Source organism: Homo sapiens, chromosome 7, assembly GCF_000001405.40.
Source record: "Homo sapiens chromosome 7, GRCh38.p14 Primary Assembly".
Classification (NCBI taxonomy): Eukaryota; Metazoa; Chordata; class Mammalia; order Primates; family Hominidae; genus Homo; species Homo sapiens.
The window spans coordinates 35449932-35468630 of NC_000007.14; the positions used below are offsets into that span (position 1 = coordinate 35449932).

The following is an 18699-nucleotide window of genomic DNA, read 5'->3' on the forward strand; positions in this document are numbered from 1 at the left end:
GCTCTCCCTGGGACAGGTTGGAAACGGCTCCTTCAATGTGCATAATTCGGAGTTCAGCATTAGCCTACCTAAGCCACTTCCTAGTTGCATGGTGGGTAGGGGCGTTCACCTCTCTGGCCTCAATTTCATCCCTTGTAGAATGTAAATAATAGTAATTTCTACTCCATGTAGGACTGCAGGTAGTTTAAATAAAATGTTGCATTTAAAGTCATGAGTGTAGAGCCTTTTAGTTTAAATAAACTATTGCATTGAAAGGCATGAGCACAGGGCCTTTTAGAACAAGTTCTAAAAAAAAAATCTTGGTATTATAATTTTACTTGCCCAGGTGCTAGTGCACCACTCGTAACAGATGGGAATGTCTCATCCTTACATGTGTCATATCCTTCTTGCACTGTGCCATCCCAGGCTGGACATGCAGGATGCCAATGAGGATAAATCTTGCCATTCTTATCCTATGCAGAGGAAGGCTAGCCTAACTCTCTGAAGATAAGACATCGCTAATTCCCTTCCTTCCTCTGCAATTCTCCACCCCCTTTTTTTCCCTCTTTCGGGCCTAGCAGACAAAGAATGAGTGTCCTGGTGTCTCACCAGATGTAGCAGGAAGTTATGAATAAGGATTGCACAGGACAATTGACTCTCTAAAAACATAGGCCCCAAATTAATCCTGAAGGCTGGGCAGTAACCACAGGAAACTTGGAGCCATGAGGCTGCCACTTAACACTTTACATATCTCTGTCTATCCTGGAGTGTTAGGCAAACAATAGCTTAATCCACTAAAGGCCTGTGAGTGGTATTATTAGTCATGGAATATCTGAGATCAACCTTTGGGTACATACACTCAAGGCCAGAATCTGGCATCCAGGTCCTCACATGGGACTAGGATCCCCACATGAGTCTTTAAGGAATGTCACAGCAAATTTTTAACAACTGGTTAATGTCTACCAGTGCTTAGCAAATTAGGCCTGTGTTGAAGTGTCAATGCCCAAGGGACTGATTTATTGAAATGCCCTAATTAGGATCTTGTAACACATCAAAGGGCCGTTAAAGAAAAAAGTGCTGGCTTCAGAGACTAAGGGGTATACATAGGCATGGTTTGTCTCTCTGCCAGGCTCAACAAATGCCATTCTGACAGTGCAATGGGCTCCACTGGGACAGCAGCCATCAATAAATTAGAACATGACCCATCTGCTGGAGGAAACCTGGTGTAATCTCTTCCCACATGCCCACTTTCTCCTTTCCTAGCCTTTCCCCCGCTTTAGAGGCCTGCAGCAAGCTCAGAGTCAAGGCCAGGAAGGTTCCTGGACCAAAGAACTAGCTACGCCAATCTTCCATGGAGGATTTAGAAAGATGCTGCAACAATTTATCAGCTTCCAGAACAATGGTCTTTCTCTCTCCACTGCTACCATGTCTTAAATACACATCTCCCATTTGAAATCTCCTTAACCACAAAGAAAAACAGCTTTCCCTACAGGCACATCTTCCAGGCCAAGCCTGTTTTGCTGCGGAGAGTATATTGCCCTAATTATTTCTACTCAGCTTAAACCCCAGCACTACCAATTCTCTCCCTCTGTAATCTTGAGTAAGCTATTTAATCTCTTAGTTTCTTCATCTGTAAAGAGGGAGGACTAATGATAATACTTACCTCATGGGATTGTTGGGAGGATTAAAAAATGCATGTAAAGTACCTGGAACATAGTTACAATTTGATGAGTGTTATTATTATTATACTTGTAATATTATGATAAAAGAAGACCCAGCTGACTGTGAGTTCATAAGAAATAATAAGCAATAGTCTTTTTTTTTTTTTGAGACAGAGTCTTGCTCTGTCGCCCAGGCTGGAGTGCAGTGGTGCGATCTCGGCTCACTGCAAGCTCAGCCTCCTGGGTTCATGCCATTCTCCTGCCTCAGCCTCCCGAGTAGCTGGGACTATAGGCACCCACCACCACGCCCAGCTATTTTTTTTGTATTTTTAGTAGAGACGGGGTTTCACGGTGTTAGCCAGGATGGTCTTGATCTCCTGACCTTGTGATCCACCCACCTCGGCCTCCCAAAGTGCTGGGATTATAGGCATGAGCCACCGCTCCCGGCCAATAACCAACAGTCTTTACAGAAGCCCCTGAACATGGCCAAGACAGGGAATGCCCCTCAGAGTTTCAAGATGCCCTAGGCTGCCTCAGATGTAAAACATCCACAACACTAATATAATTCTATGCTTAGCTAATCGTCCCAGCTTGCATTTTTATCAACATTAAAGAACATGAGGCAAAGAGCAGCAGTCACCCACTACAAGTAACCTTGGAAAAAAGACTGCTTCAAGGTCTGGGACAGGAAATACACAGGATAAACCTGGAGCTTCTTGACATACCAGATAGTAAGGAAGTTAGCAGAGTCTACTAGGGTCATGTCAAAAGGACTCAGGAGCTGTCTTGAAGAGGTTCCCACTGGCCAAAGATGGGGTAATCTGAATATCAACTGGAATGATAACTGCTGCAATGGACTGAAACATACCAAATGTATTCTAGGAAACCAATTCATTATTTTTAACACTGGTAAGTAAAAAAGAAAGAATAAAACATTTATCTCACCTTTTCAGTATGACCCTATACTTTAGGGTAACCAAACAGTTGATGAGGGGTGATTTCTCTTTATAGAGTTTCCAGCTAAAGGATGAAGAAGTGATGATATAGTATCACTATGTTATAATCTGCATAAATTAATATATCTAAGCATCAATGATCAATGGCTACTAATAGCATAAAAATAGAGACAATCATTTAGTGCCTCCTGATGGAAGTGCACACCACCATCTATGAAATGGTCTTGCCCAAAATATCACATTTTAATCTGATCAAGCTCTAGATCTAAATGCTGATTTTCAGGCAATCCAAAGACAGAAAAACATGCTAAATGACACCATGGGGATAAAATAAGTAAACCCTAGACTCTGGGAAATGCTACAGGACAAATGATTGGTTTCTTCAACAAATAAACTGAAAGGTAAAAAGAGCAAGATGAAGAAGAAACCTATAAATTACAAAGCAACCCATACTGACAACACCAAATGCCAGTGAGGACACAGAACAACAGGGACTCTCGTTGACTGCAGGTGAAAATGTAAAATGGCACAGGCACTTTGGTAGACAGTTCGACGGGTTGTTATAAAACTAAACACACTCTTACCATACAATCCAGCAATCACATTTCTTGGTGTTTACCCAAATCAGTTGTAAAAATAATGTCCACACAAAAACGTGCACATGGATGTTTATAGAAGCTTTATTTATAATTACCAAAACTTGGAAGCAACCAAGATGTCCTTTAATAGGTGAATGATTAAACTCTGGTACACTCATACAATGGGATATTACTCACTGCTAAAAAGTAATGAGCTATCAAAAATATTAGCAAAGTATTCCTTTTATTTTTTTTAGAAATGGAGTCTTGCTATTTTGCCAAGGTTGGCCTCAAACTCCTGGGCTCAAGCAATTTTCCCACCTCAGCCTCCTGAGTAGCTGGGATTACAGGAGTGAGCCACCACACCTCTTACCTGGATTTGTGAGAGTAGTATTTGGTATAGGGACTGTGGATAAAATAGGATTCTCTCTCTCCCCACAGTCTGTGGCCTCTCTGTGTCTCTTTCCAAGATGTTCATTTGAACTGATATTCATCTTGTCAACATTGCTCAACTAGAGTGACAGATTCTTTCTGACCTGCCCTCAGAGGCTGAAGCTGGGCTGCATGGACATCAGAAGCACAGAGGACACACCTGCCCAGCAACTAACACACACTCTCCTCTAGCCCTCCTAATGACCCTGGGGAGCAGGCAGAAAGATACCACTCTTCCCTTTTTACAGACAAGGAAACTGAGGCACAGGAAGGTAAGATTGTTTGTCCAAGGTCCTACAGCTAGTAAATAAGGGATCTGAGACCATCTCCTTGATCTTCTGACACCCAGACCTTCCTTCTTTCCATTACCCATTAAAGCAACAAAGATGCAGTCCTTCTTATTGTAACATGTTATTATTCTTTAGTCTTCTTAAAGTCATCCCTATAACACATTGCCAAGTAGTGGAGGCAACAGCCTCATTCTCCATAATGAGGTCATCTGCTAATAATTTTCCCTCTTTCTCCCCAAGTTTCTCCCCCTTCTGGCCCCTGCCTCTGCTTCCTACCCATCATCAAGATCTGCGCAAGCTACCTTTCACTGGGAGACGTCTGCCTCCACCACCCCTACCAGGGTCCCCAGGAGGGAAGCATCCTTGGAGATTCTCACCTCCCATAGATCTGTCAAAGTAAGAAAAAAATTGGAAAATAACAGGAAAAGGGAAAATGTGGGAACAACAGCTATCTTACCTCTCCCATCCCCGGGATGAGAGAGAGAGATTTCCTGCTTCTACAAACAACCAAGCTCTGAAAGGAGGCTTCTTTTACATACACTTTGCAGGGATGACTTAAATAAGTCTTGAAGACTCTCTTTCCCTGGAGACCAGACTAAAAGTATTGTTTAGAAATCTAATACATGGTTTATTTACTCAATTTGTGCTGAGCTCCACAGTTCCTTCAGGCCAGCCTCACTCGCCCATTACTCTATTAATGCTCCATTACTGAAATTAGTGCTGTAATTGGAGGGGGAAGGGCCGAGGAAGGGGGCACTCCTTAAAGGCACAGGTCTCGGCTAATCACATCACGGGCGGAGGCACCGAGGAACTGGTGTGGGGGCCCCACGAACGCTCGGGCCAAAGCTACTCCTCGGCCACGCGGCGGCTGGCAACTGACGCGCGCGATGTTGCGCCGGCCAATCAGCGTATGGCTCAGTCCCGCGGGCCCCGCTTCCAGGTGGAGCTGCTCCTGCTCTCGGGGTAGCCAGGGTCCCGGGCCTGGCCGCGGCCCCGCGGGCTCTTACGCTTTCGCCCCCATCTCGCTCCGCACGCCAGCGGTTCAAACACCCCCGGTAGGATCAGCCCCCGAGTGCACCTCTGACCCCAACTCTGAGCAGGCAAGGTTAAGGCCATTTGTGTGAAGCTTGTTCGCGCACTCTCGCTTTTCCTGGCCGAATCCCAGCGGCCTCTCTGCACCTCCCACGAGCTCCCTGGCACCTCTGCGCAAGCCCACTTTCCCCGAGACCCTTCCGTCCCACTGCGCTTCTGCGTCCCTCTCCGCGACTTCTCTTCAGAGACTGACTTGTCCTCCGTAAGGCAAAATCTAGTCCCTACCCCTTGAGCATCTGGTCCATCACTTCCTCTCATAAGCAGATTTACTGGGAAGGCGGCCCACACTCCGGGGCGCGGTCTTCGCCTCAGTTTGGGATCTGAATTGCACCCTCTCCCACGGAGGTGGCTTTCTTAAAGGTCTCCAGTTGGCCAATCCAATGGCCATTTCTCGATTCTTATAGGCCACAGGACTTCGCAGGAACATCCGAAATTGCAAACATCCTCTTTCTGGAGTGATTGCTCCCTTTGGCACCTATGAATAATAGTTTCCCCCAAGTTCTCTTCTCCCTGAAGGAACATTCTTTTCCTACAGCTGTGATTCTTCTAAGTCCCAGGTCCTTTTGAGAATCTGATGAAAACACACTCACACACAGACACACACAAACACAAGCACACAATGGGCATTCATGGACCCTACAGGAGCCTGTAAATCCCAGGTTAACCACTTCTGCTCCTTACTTTTTTTCTTGGTGATCTTACCAATTCCTGTTTTTAAAATCATATGGGCTGGGTGCAGTGGCTCACGCCTGTAATCCCAGCACTTTGTGAGGCTGAGGCGGGCAGATCGCTTGAGGTCAGGAGTTCGAGACCAGCCTGGCCAACATGGTGAAACCCCGTCTCTACTAAAAATACAAAAATTAGCCAGGCGTGGTGGCGGGCACCTGTAATCCCAGCTACTTGGGAGGCTGAGACAGGAAAATTGCTTAAACCCGGGAGGCGGAGGTTGCAGTGAGCCGAGATCACGCTACTGCACTGCAGCCTGGGCAACAGAGCAAGACTCCATCTCAAAAAAAAAAAATCATATGTATTTGGACAATTCCCAAATCTAAATCCCCCAGCCTGGACCTCTTCACCTGTTGCCTACTCACATTTTCAGCTGCCTGATCAATATGCCATAGGCCTCATCTATCTCTGCTAGAGGCTTGGTGACGTCTTGCAGGTATGCAGGCTGGAAAACTTGGGATCATCATTAACTCTTCTGGTTTGCTAAACCTGCCACTGACAACCTATCAGACATTTAGAACTGTGGCTCTTCTTCTCCATTTTTCCTCACAACCATTCCTTCCTTTTTGTCTTCACTGGTACCTCCTCACAGTTTGGCTCAGCCTCTTAACTGATCTCCTTGTCTCCAGGCTCAGGCTGCCCAATCACACCACTGTTGAGAGGCAGAGATGTAGCAAGTGCCAAATCCAAGAGCCTTAGACATGGCTGGGTTCCTCTAGTCCAGTCCATGCTTCATTACCAGTCCCCTTTACAAGGCATCTGCACGGCTGCTGTCCAGCTTCTGCTTGAATATCTCTGAAGAAGAGAAGCTGACTTCATCATTAAACATGTTGGCTTTTGGCCGATTCTAAGTATGGAAGCCTTTATCCATACATTGAGCTAAAAGCTGCCCTCAGCTCTTCAGAGCTTCTTCCTGCCTGAAGAGAGCTTGCTAGGTGCCCACACAGCTAGTGGTTACATTTCCTAGACTTCCCTGCACTAGCTGTGGCTAGTGACTAAATTCTTGCTCGTTGAAAATCAGCAAACACGAAGTGTGTTGGTGCCACTTTCATGGGGGGCCTTCATACATCAGACACATATTTCTCTAGTTTCTTATCCTCTTCCCTGAAGAGGATGGGAACTGGAGATTCCCCGGATCATGGAGATTAGGGCCATACCCTAGGAGATGAGGGAGTAATACAGGCAAGAAACCTGAGTCCCTGGACCACCACACAGAGCAGTCCTACCCTGACAGCCTGGGTTACCCACATTAGAACTGTTCCATGAGAGAGAGGTAAGCTTTTACATCCTTTAAGCCACTGTCTTTTGTTAAAGCACTGTAACTTTAACTCTGAATAAATCCTCTCTCATCACTCCCACCTTGGTCTGTATTCCAACCATACTGAACTTCCCATCATGTCCAAATATAACATGCCCCCTGTATTAGTCCATTTTCATGCTGCTGATAAAGACATACCTGAGACTGTACAATTTACAAAAGAAAGAGGTTTAATTGGACTTAAATTCCATGTGTCTGGGGAAGCCTCACAATCATGGCAGAAGGCAAGGAGGAGCAACTCATGTCTTACATGGATGGCAGCAGGCAAAGAAAGAGTGAGTGCCAAGTGAAAGGGGTTTCTCCTTAAAAAACCATCAGATCTGGTGAGACTTATTCACTACCATGAGAACAGTATGGGGGAAACCACCACCGTGATTCAATTATCTCCCACCAGGTTCCTCCCACAACAATGGAAATTATGGGAGCTACAGTTCAAGATGAGATTTGGGTGGGCACACAGCCAAACTATATAATTCCGCCCCGACCTCTCCCAAATCTCATGTCCTCACATTTCAAAACCAATCATGCCTTCCTAACAGTCCCCCAAATTCTTAACTCAGTTCAGCATTAACTCAAATGCCCATAATCCAAAGTCTCATCTGAGACAAGGCAACTCCCTTCCACCTATGAACCTGTAAAATCAAAAGCAAGTTAGTTACTTCCTAGATACAATGGGGGTACAAGCATTGGGTAAATATAGCTGTTCCAAATGGGATAAATTGGCCAAAACAAAGGGGCTACAGGCCCCATGCAAGTCTGAAATCCAGTAGGGCAGTCAAATCTTAAATCTCCAAAATGATCCCCTTTGACTCTGTGTCTCACTTCCAGGTCATGCTGATGCAAAAGGTGGGTTCCCATGGCTTGGACAGCTCTGCTCCTGTGGCTTTGCAGAATACAGCCTACCTCCCAGCTGCTTTCATTGGCTGACATTGAGTGTTTGTGGCTTTTCCAGGCACACAGTGCAAGCTGTCAATGGATCTGTCATTTCTGGTGTCTGGAGGGTGGCCTCTTCTCACAGCTCCACTAGGCAGTGCCCCAGTAGGAACTCTGTATGGGGGCTGTGACCCCACATTTCCCTTCCACACTGCCTTAGCAGAGGTTCTCCATGAGAGCCCTGCCCCTACAGCATACTTCTGCCTAGACATCCAGGCATTTCCATACATCCTCTGAAATCTAGGCGGAGGTTCCCAAACCCCAGTTCTTGACTTCTGTGCACCCACAGGCTCAACACCATGTGGAAGCTGCCAAGTCTTGAGGCTTGCACCCTCTGAAGCCACAGCCCGAGCTCTACATTGGTCCCTTTCAGCCACACCGGAGAAGCTGGGAACACAGGGCACCAAGTCCCTAGGCTGCACACCTCAGAAAATGGGATTTTCTTTTCTATCGAATTGTCAAGCTGCAAATTTTCCAAACTTTTATGCTCTGCTTCCCTTATAAAACTGAATGCCTTTAACAGCACCCAAGTCACCTCTTGAATGCTTTGCTGCTTAGAAGTTTCTTCCACCAGATGCTTTAAATCATCTCTTTCAAGTTCAAAGGCCCACATATCTCTACGGCAGGGGAAAAATGCCACCAGTCTCTTTGCTAAAACATAGGAAGAGTCACCACTGTTCCAGTTCCCAATAAACTCCTCATCTCCATCTGAAACCACCTCAGACCAGATTTCATTGTCTATATCATTATCAGCATTTTGGTCAAAGCCATTCAGCAAGTCTCTAGGAAGTTCCCAACCTTCCCACATTTTTCTCTCTTCCTCTGAGCCCTCCAAACTGTTCCAACCACTGCCTGTTACCCAGTTCCAAATCTGCTTCCACATTTTTGGGTTTCTACAGCAGCACCTCACTCTACTGGTACCAATTTACTGTATTAGACAATTTTCATGCTGCTGATAAAGACATACCCAAGACTGGACAATTTACAAAAGAAAGAGGTTTAACTGGACTTACACCTCTATGTGTGGCTGGGGAAGCCTCACATTATGGCAGAAGGCAAGGAGGAGCAAGTCACATCTTACATAGATGGCAGCAGGCAAAGAGAGTGAGTGCCAAGTGAAAGAAAGGGGTTTCTCCTTATAAAACCATCAGATCACTGCCACGAGAATAGTATGGGGGAAACCACCGCCATAATTCAGTTATCTCCCACCAGATCCCTCCCACAACAATGGGAATTATGGAAGCTACAATTCAAGATAAGATTTGAGTGGGGACAGCCAAACAATATTACCGCTCCCCCCCACCCCCTGCCCCCCATATCTCTATTCCATTGTTCAAGCTCCAGCCTCTGCCTGCAATACTTTTCCCTGTTGTCTCCACCTGGTGACCACTCATCCTTCAAGACCTTGCAGCCTTCTATGACTCTCCCAGGAATTTAGTAGCATGCACATTGTTTAAGCTGTCTCCTAATTTTTAACATTTAGGAATGTTTTTGGCTGCAATTAAATTCTGACTAACTGTGGCTCAAACTGAAGGATGCTTATTTTCTTAACAAGAAGTTAGATGATAGGTGGTCTCAGGTTTGCCTTTGTGGCTCAATGATGCCATCAGGGGCCCAGGCACCCATTTATCTACTTTCTCATCCATGATTGCTGTCTATGACCCTCCTCTGAGTCACAAAATGGCTTCTCCAATTTTAAGCATCAAAATTCTTACACAACAGCATCTTAAGCAGGAAGAATGGATGAAGAAACAAAAGGTTGCCTCCTTATAGTAACTTTTAACAGGGATTTCTCCCTTTCAGTTGTCTAGAAGACTTGCCCTGAAGTCTCACCAGCCAGAACTGGGTGTTATACCCACCCCTAGGCTGGTCACTGGAAAAAGGCATCAGATTTGTGTTTGATTTAGACCAATCACAATTGATCCACCAAGGCAGAGAAGGCTAAACAAGAAGAAAATTGAAGTTCTGTTCACAAGAAAGGAAGGAGAATGGTTCATCACATAAACATGTAGGCAACTAACTGTTTCTGCCATGCCACAGTATTATAATTTATCACTTTACTGGTCCAGACTAGGAATCTCTTAAAGGAACAGAGACTGCATCTATTTTGCTTCACCTCGGAGCCATTTGTGTCTAGCACAACAAAGTTTTTTAAAAGATGTTTTCAAAGGATAAATAGAGAAGCCCATCACCTGATTCTTTTCCTGATTTCCAAAGTGCTTAGCACTCTTGTCGGAGCCAAAAGTTGACTCCATGGCCTCTGTGCAGAAAAGGAGAAAGCTCAGGAGACCCATTGCCACTTCACCTCCATGTGAAACTTAAACAGAACTACCATTCCCAGGAAGCCTAGATTATTTTAAGGGTGCCTGGGTGAAATACTATTAGTGTCTCACATCTCTTTACCCTTTGGTGCTGCTGCTGAAGCCGGAGAAGAAGTGCTAAAATCTAGCTGAAAAGTCTGGTCTCAGGATATTTCTGGCCAAGTCAAAGTTGGAAGGATAAGAAATCCCACAAGGCTGTTCTTGTGAGGCTTAAGGCTATGTCTTGGGTAGACTCAAGATTTCTGGATAAGTGGCTGTCCTTCAGGGTGCCCTCTGGGTCAGGAGCGAGCTGCAGAGTCACACCTTCTTTGGTCAGAGTGACATCTTCCTCTGTGAGGAAGAAGGCCCTGTTGATGATTTTCCAAACACAACACTTCTAAGTGGTCTGTGCTATGCCTGGGTGGGCACTCCTAGGAAGGAGGAGGACTGAGGTGAAAATTGGATGAGATCAAGTGCACAGAAAGTGCTATATAAAGTAAATGTGCAAATTGAGTTCCCAGCACAGTGTTGGCCCAACAGTAGATGTTGATCACTGTCAATTGACTATTGATTGTTATATGATAAAACCGTCTTTCATATTCTAACTCTGGCAATCAAGATAGTGAACAGACAATCCACTATAAATAAAGTACAAATGTTTGATCTTAATTCATATCTTCATCAAGGTAAGGTGCAAGTTTCAGAACTTCTTATATCCCTCTATGATGAGAATGACTGAGTATTCATTTAACTGGAACATATAAGAAGATGAGCTTGGATTTTGTTGTTCTCTGCAATCAAGAGATAAATTAACCAGGAAAGTATTAAAATAGAAAGTAGTCTATTCCATCTCTTGATTATTGGTTGGCTTAAAGAATTGAATAGAATATGCCTGATTAAAATAATGTAGAATTTTAGATCTAAGATGCTATCTAATCCAGTATTTTCATTTAATACATGAGGAAACCAGGGTCCCAAGAAATTAAGAGACTGACTCAACAATACTAGTCTTTCAGAGTGAAGCCCCTGGTTTCCTGACTCCCAGATCTATGATCTTTCTTGTCGCCAGACGATCCCACAATTTTCTCTGTTGTGGATCTAGGACCTCAGCTGTACAGGGGAAAGCTGTGGTCATTTGCTATTAATTAGCTCAGCATCCATGGCTCTTTTAATGGGAGCCGTTGGTGTTCTGCCATCAGATGTAGGTAGTCCTTTAAAGCTGCTTCTTGCATCAGGATCTTCCAATGTGTTCTGATGGAAGAAACAAATTTGAAGACCTCACCAGGAGTGCCAATGGCCTGAGCTTCCACAAGCTCATGATATATGTGCTTTTGGAGGGTTCAAACATGCTCACCGGAGTCCCGCCCTTGATTTGGCCTGTTCAGAGAGAAACCAAGCCCTGGTTAGCCACTAAGAACCAAGGATGTCCGAAACAGTATTCCCTTACTAGGTTTGAACACCTATCTTCTCCTCAAGTTGAGCCTCCCCAGCGTGGAGTTTTGGAGACCTGCATTCTGTATTTCTTTATTATTCATCACAGTGCTATTTACTAAGACCTAATATGTAATAAGCATAATGTAAGGCCAGGGATAGAGAAATGGGTAAGCCATGACCTCTGCCCTGGAGAAACATGTTCTGTAGTTTGGAGACAGGCCTGGGAACAGCTCGTTCTATTGCAAGGGGTATGCACAGAGGAAGGTGCCTTTCCCTCTGCCTGTGAGATATTGGGCTGGTGTTTTTCTGGTGGACCAAGGTAGGGTGGGGATTCTGGGCAGCAGGAACAGCATGTACAAAGGCACAGAAGCATGCAAGAATGATACGTTGGTTGGATTGAGCCAATTTCATTTCTCAGCTATTCAACCCATGTCTCATAAATCTAAGGATTCACTGGAAAATGTGAGGGGCTGACATCAGACTCTGCAGAGCAGTCCAGAAGTCCTATGTTTACGTGGCCAGGACTACTGCCTTTTGCTGTGCCCATCCCTGGTGTCCATCCCACCACCATCAACCCATGAGAACAGAATATAGTGACAGAATTAACTCTGATCAGAATATGAGTAATGATTAATATTGCTACTTTGATCTGCCTCATCTGCTCCTTTCCCCAGCCCCAAGTGCTTGGGAACTCCCCTTCTTCTCCTACCATGCCCTCCTTCAAGGCTAACTGTTGACAATTCAATGTGGATTTAAGCCCTTATGTTCCGCCACTCAGAGCTATTGTTCTGTGAAATGAAAGTCTGCATATCCTTCCACAGGAGCTTCGGGGACCAAGGCATAAATGTGAGGGATGTTCTAGATAAGTGCCACCTTATATCCCCAACCTGCAACTCTGGTAAATCATGAATCTGGAGGGCAATGTCTATGGCAGCTTTGGAGTGCAGAAGGTCTAGGAGGGACCCTGGAGAGGGGCAGTGGAGCACTTGAGAAATGCAGGGGACACTGTTGGTCGGGACTCAGGGACAAGGAGTAGTTTTCACATTTACTCAGGTGATTGACCTAAAATCTTATTACTATTTATGAAACACCAGCCATGCTGAAAATATTAAATTTCACCATAGGAACTCGCATAAAAAAATTTTAGCAGAAAATATGGGTATATGCAACGGAAAAATCTGGCCAGACTTGGGGCCTAAGGGTATTGAATTTAATCAAACATTTTAAGGCATATATTTAAATGATCATATTGTTTTTATTTTTGATCTATTAATTACTAAATTACTATACTGTACCACTGACTGTGAGTTTTATAATAATAAATTTTTGCATATCTGAAATTAAATTTGTTTTTGTTATGATAGATAAGTAACTTTGAGTATTCTGTCAAACCCAACTTGCTAGTATCTTTAAAGGGATATTTGTACCTCTCCTTTTGGAGTGGAAACTCCAATAGGGTGAGGACTATTACACATTTGGCTTTGGTTCCTCTGGGATGTGTATAACTTCACGTCTGTTCTACATTCTCAAGCCTTTATACCTGTCTTATTATTATTTTTAAGGAGGGTTTTCTCAAGTTTCTTCTCCATATGACTGCTGTAATGTTTTGCAAGCTCTACTATTTTTCTTGCCATCTTCAATTGGATTTAATTCTGCTACTGCATTTGGAATTTTCTTGCCTTTTTTTCTTGTTTCAGCCAACACTTTTGCACACCACCTTCATCTCAGCCCATTCTAATTTTATAGCTTCCTGTTCCTGTTTCATAAAAGCCACACCACACCCTTATTATTGCAGACAGCAGGAAGGTTTGTTTTAGTCCACAATTCTCTATTTTATCTACTAGAATAACACTTTAGAGCCGTGAATCATCAGGTAAAGTCTCACTTTCCCATAATTTGTGGTACCTTTCTGTAGGCTCTTTATTGATTCTTTCTATTTCTTCATCCTTGAAAGAAAAGATTGTTATTTAAGCCTGGAATTTCCAGGAGCCCCCATCATTGCGTATTTAGCTCCTGGAACTTCCCTTCGAAGGTACACAGTTAAAAATCAGCCACTAACTCAATGTACAACACATGCAGGCCTTTGTTGTGAGTAATGCTGCTAGGTTGAAGTTAGATTTTCCTTGGTCCAACTATCAGGTTCTTTGGATAAGATACAGGTTTTATTCCTCTTGTGTACAGTTTAGAACATAAAAGATTACACCGCTTATCCAGAACTGTTCCCAGGGCTCTTCCTGACTCCACCCTGCTTCTGATGCTTCTCTTTAGGTATCTAAGTGAACCAAGATGCAATGTGCTTCCTCCATTCCCCTCTGCTGTGTGGGAACTATGGCTTCTGGATGGATGAAGATAAAGCTGGGCTGAAGGCGTGGTGTGAGGGGGAGGGGATGGCAGGGGACATCTGCGGAAAGACAGGACTCTGGCACCTCTACCTAACTTGGAAGATATTGGAAGAGAGACAGCCTGTTTTTCTAGTACTTGTCCCTGTGTCTCGAAGACAGGGGCATCAGCAGGAAGGTATTTAGGTTATTTCATATCTTCTCTTTTTGGATTTGGCAGTTTTAACTAAAGAAAGCATGCTCCAAAATTATTTCTCAATCCTTTCCTATTGGTATGGTAATTAATAGCAGTTCTCCCTAGAATTTAACATGTGGTCTTTGCTTATATTTTTAAAAATATCAGTACTTGCTTTTTGTTTGTCAGTTTATTTGTATTTACATGAGTTTTACACCAGCATTTCTGGGGAAAAGAGGGACATATCAGGCATCATAACACCAATTTAAAGCAGAAGTCCTTCCTCTAAATTTTAAATTCCATTGAATTTTAATTTTAACTTTTCTGGCTCAATGGCCATTGTAAATATACAAAATTGTACAGGGCTCTAACAAAGTGATTGTTTTTAGGCCATTAAAGTACAAAAGACAATGTCCCTACACTAAATTCTCCCAACCTATTGCTCTTTACAAAACTGTTTATTTTTTCTCTCTCCTCCCTAACATGTGTGTGGGCCTATCGTGTCTTATGGGTTTCCTCTAGAACCACTATGGCCCTCTTAATGTGAAGACCCTACAGGACTCTTGCTATTTCTGAAAGAGGGATCATAAAATCTCATGTGGGAAGAAATTTTTGGAAAAGGTCTAATACAGGCACCAGCATTATCCTTTCTCACCCAGTGGTCAGTTGTCCTCTGCTGCAACACCTCCAGCGTGGGGAATTCTCTACCTCCTGGGGCCATCAATTCCATCTCTGTGGGGCTCCGATTGTTACAAAGTCCTTCCCTATATTGAGCTGAAATGTGTCTTTCCTTTGTTATCCTCTTATTGCTCCTGGTTCCTCCACATATGGACTCAGTGTGTTACCTCTTCCATGTGAGCACCTGCCAGACACGGGGAGGTTTTATGCTCCTCCCCTGCCCCAAGTTCTCCCTTCTCTGGGACAAACAAGTTCAGGTCCTTCAATTACTCCTGCAAATCTCTGTAATGACTTAGTTGTGTCATGAGACTCATGGGAGTTCTTTGTTCATTTAATGGGAAGCAAGAAGAAGTTATCCTAAGCACCAAAAGGTGGAAGCACCCAAAAAGATGCCCATCAACTTGCTCTGGGTGTCATCAAAGGGCAAGACAGGACTTCCTAAATGAGATGGACAGGAAGCATTCCTGAGTAGCGCTGCTGTCCTCAATGAGATGAGATGGCCACTCACATTAGGTAAGGAAAGGAGAGTCCAATAAAAAGCCAATTCCAAAGGTGTGGCCAGGGTCAAAGGAAACCCCAAGGGAAGGTGCTGTCCTGGGGGCTGGTACTAATAGGATACCACCCCTAGGTCTGAAGGGGCAAGGGAGGCAGTGGTTACCGTAGAACACAGTACAAAGTTTATTGTTGGTCAAATGTTTCTATTACCCTCATTAAAATATATGAGCATGGATAAAAATTCTGTAGCTTATATTTTGCACCCTTGCTTTTAGACATTAATTGGCATTTGTTAAAACTGCTAAGAACACTTTGGTTTTCATTAAGCATCAAGCAAGACATAAACAAAGTAATCAAGATGGCTGAAGTGGGAGCAGGAGTGGGGCTGCTTTTTGGGACATATTTTAAAGGGGCCTGTGAGCAAGGGCCAAGCACCCTCCCCCTGCTCATGGAGGTGGCGATTTTATGTCCCTGTTTGGCTCAGGTCTGAAGCACAGCCTGGCTGAGAGGCAGCTGGCACGGGCCCAGGCACGATTGCATGCCTGCCCCTGTGGGCCCCACTTCCAGCAGGTCACCCGGTCTGTGTTGTCACCTTGAAACATTCTAGAGAGCTGTGAGCTTCAGAAGGTGAGGCTCTGGGGGCTGGGCTGGGGGCAGGGAAGGCAGCCACGCAGGGTGGCTGGAGAGCTTTTGACAGCCCCTAGCAGAGCCCAGCATCCCATTCCCGACGACGTGAGCCCCCCAGGCAGGCGCCGAGTGGATAAGAGTGTAGACAGCGAGGCCGGCCTGTGACGCTTGCCAGCACCTGCAGATAGCAGGCAAATAATTGGCACATGCTTAAAAAAAATTAAAAACCTCTTGGATGTGAGTATTTTCTAACAGCATCTGGCGGGAGTGCCCGGGAGGAATTTAATCAGCAAGAGTTGTTTAAATGGGGCTCCGCACAGGCCCCGGCCAGGCCCGCCATGAACTCGGCATCATGTGCCACCCCTGTCTGCTGAGAACATTCAATTTGTTAATTCTGCAGCTGGTGAGAGAGGTCAGATAGGAAAGTGACGATTGTTTTCTGACGTTCCAACCCCTGCTCACATCTTTCTAATTAATCCTTTTAGGAGCCACAGGAAGATTAAGAAGGAGAAAAGGTGAGGGAATCAAGTACCAGAGAAATTGATGGAAAGACAACGCTGCTGCCCTTCTCTTCTCAAATGGGATGGATGTGAGGAGCTGGGGGTGGGGAGAGAGAAAAAAAAATTGAGGACTGCTGCCTGCCACTCTTCTCGCTCAAAGGAAAATCATGCTCGGAAGACATGGGACCCAAAAGGGCCACTGGATCTTCTCCTATGGTGCCTGTCTCTTTTAAACAGGAGGCAGCAGCCCCTCTCCTGGTCTCCATCACTCAGTCTTGGACCATCAGGAGCCACTGAGGCCTCCCAAGCAGAGTGGCAACTATGCTGGGTGGGAACGTGACCTGCTGTTAAAGGCCCACAGTCATTAGAATTCTGTAAGAACATACCCTGGTAGCCAGAGGGCCTGGTTTGGTGTCCGGACCCCAACATGTCACGTTGCTCTGCCTAGCTGTGTGAGATGGGGCTGGTGTGCAGCTGTCTTCTGCTGGTCCTTCTAGATTCATTTTTCCTCCTGCTCCACCTTTTTTCTGCCATAGAGGCAGACCTCTGAGGGCCTCATCCATGGGCTCCTGCCCTCCAAGTCCGGCTGGTGGGGATCCCAGTAGATAGGAGGGAGAAACAGCAAGAGGCTGCTGGAGGCTGGCTGGAACTGGGGCAGGGACGCTCGTGCGCTTCCCCGAAGTCTCTCTTTTTAGGTCCTTTGCTGCTGCTAGCCCCAGGTCCTTGCAGTACCCCCTCTGCTTCCCCCTACCCACCCATGGCATGTATTTAGTGCCTTTGTGCATAAACACCTCTCAAATTATCCTGATTGAGGGTACTTCTTTCCACTGAGACATCAACACTGGTACCTGATGGATAAGGCAAGTCTGAGTTTGCACCTGGCCCCTATTCACAGTAAGGATGTGAGAAAGTTACTTAACCTCTCTGAGCATGGCTTGACTCATCCCTAAGATGGGGATGGATGATACTGAATCATAGCATTGTGATATAACCCGAACCAGGCACCTAATTAATACCCATTTCTTTGTTTATGAAAGTCTCAAGTTTAGGGGAAACAAAAAAAAAAGATCAGTAAAAGGTATAAAACAAAAGAATGCAATGAACACCAGAATCATCATCAAACCAAGACATTAAAATACTTTCCTGCCAGTGGGACCGCAGCCAAGTAGTGCTATTTGATACAGCATCCCTCTGTCCTGGTCAGAGGAGAGCCCTGCTCAGAACTGACTATCCATGGCAAGCATTGAGTGTGGAGCACCCACTCCACAGCCCCCAGTCCTTTCGCTCATGCTCCAACATAGTCATCCTGTAAATATTTGCTGAATCACCTTCTGTGTGCCTTGCCCTGTGCTAGGTCCTGGGGAACCATGGATCACTCAGACACAGCACCAGACTTCAAGGTGCTCACAGCCACTTGGGGAAATGAGCCCTAAATTCCTAGCTTTGATCAAACAATAAAATGCCACCAGGCATAAAGGTGGGAATGATTAATTCTGCTATTGGCATACGTGTGTGCATGTGGGTGTGCTGGGAAGGGAGGTCTGGGAAGGCTCCTCCAAGGCCTTGAAAGATGAGACTTCTGAAAACAGAAGAGCTCAGTGGGCAGAGGGAACCGGACGTGCAAAGGCACGGAGGCAGGAGAGAACACAGAGAAATCTGCCAACAAGTCCCAGTGGCTGGAATATGGAGTCCAAAGTACTGATGGCAGCAGGGATTCCACTAGAAGTAAAGATCAGTTTGCGAGAGGGAAAGGACCCGAAAAGCACTCTGAGAAATTTGGCTTTGATTCAGGAAGCAAAAAAGAAGTAGCAAGAATTCTTCATTCTGAGCGTTTTAGGGAGAAACGCTGGCACAATAAAGTGTGCAATTTTTGTAATCATCTGCCTTCTGATAGTAAGGCCCTATTCTCCTGGGTTGGCAGGAAATTTGTTCACAGCTATGTTTGAGACGACCCTCTTCCCAGCTCCCATCCAGGACCTTGTATGTTTTTGAGTCTTGCACAGACACAAGCCTCCAGGGGTCCCACAGAGCCATGTTCTCACAGTCCGGCCACCTCCCCAGGGGCTGCCATAGGGTGGGACTGGATCCCACACTATTTGTGCCATTCACTGACCAGAGACCTCTCCCCAGGATGGGGGTAAGCTTTCTCTTGTCCTTCTTTGACCCTTAGAATCCCTCTTTTCTCC

At 45.2% G+C, this 18699-nt stretch overlaps 1 annotated feature.

Annotated features, from left to right (window-relative positions):
- Nucleotides 15643–16801: an enhancer, noted in NCBI's record as "VISTA enhancer hs463". NCBI's record gives its function as "enhancer in: heart[5/6]" and the evidence as "EXISTENCE:transgenic organism evidence [ECO:0001131][PMID:17130149]".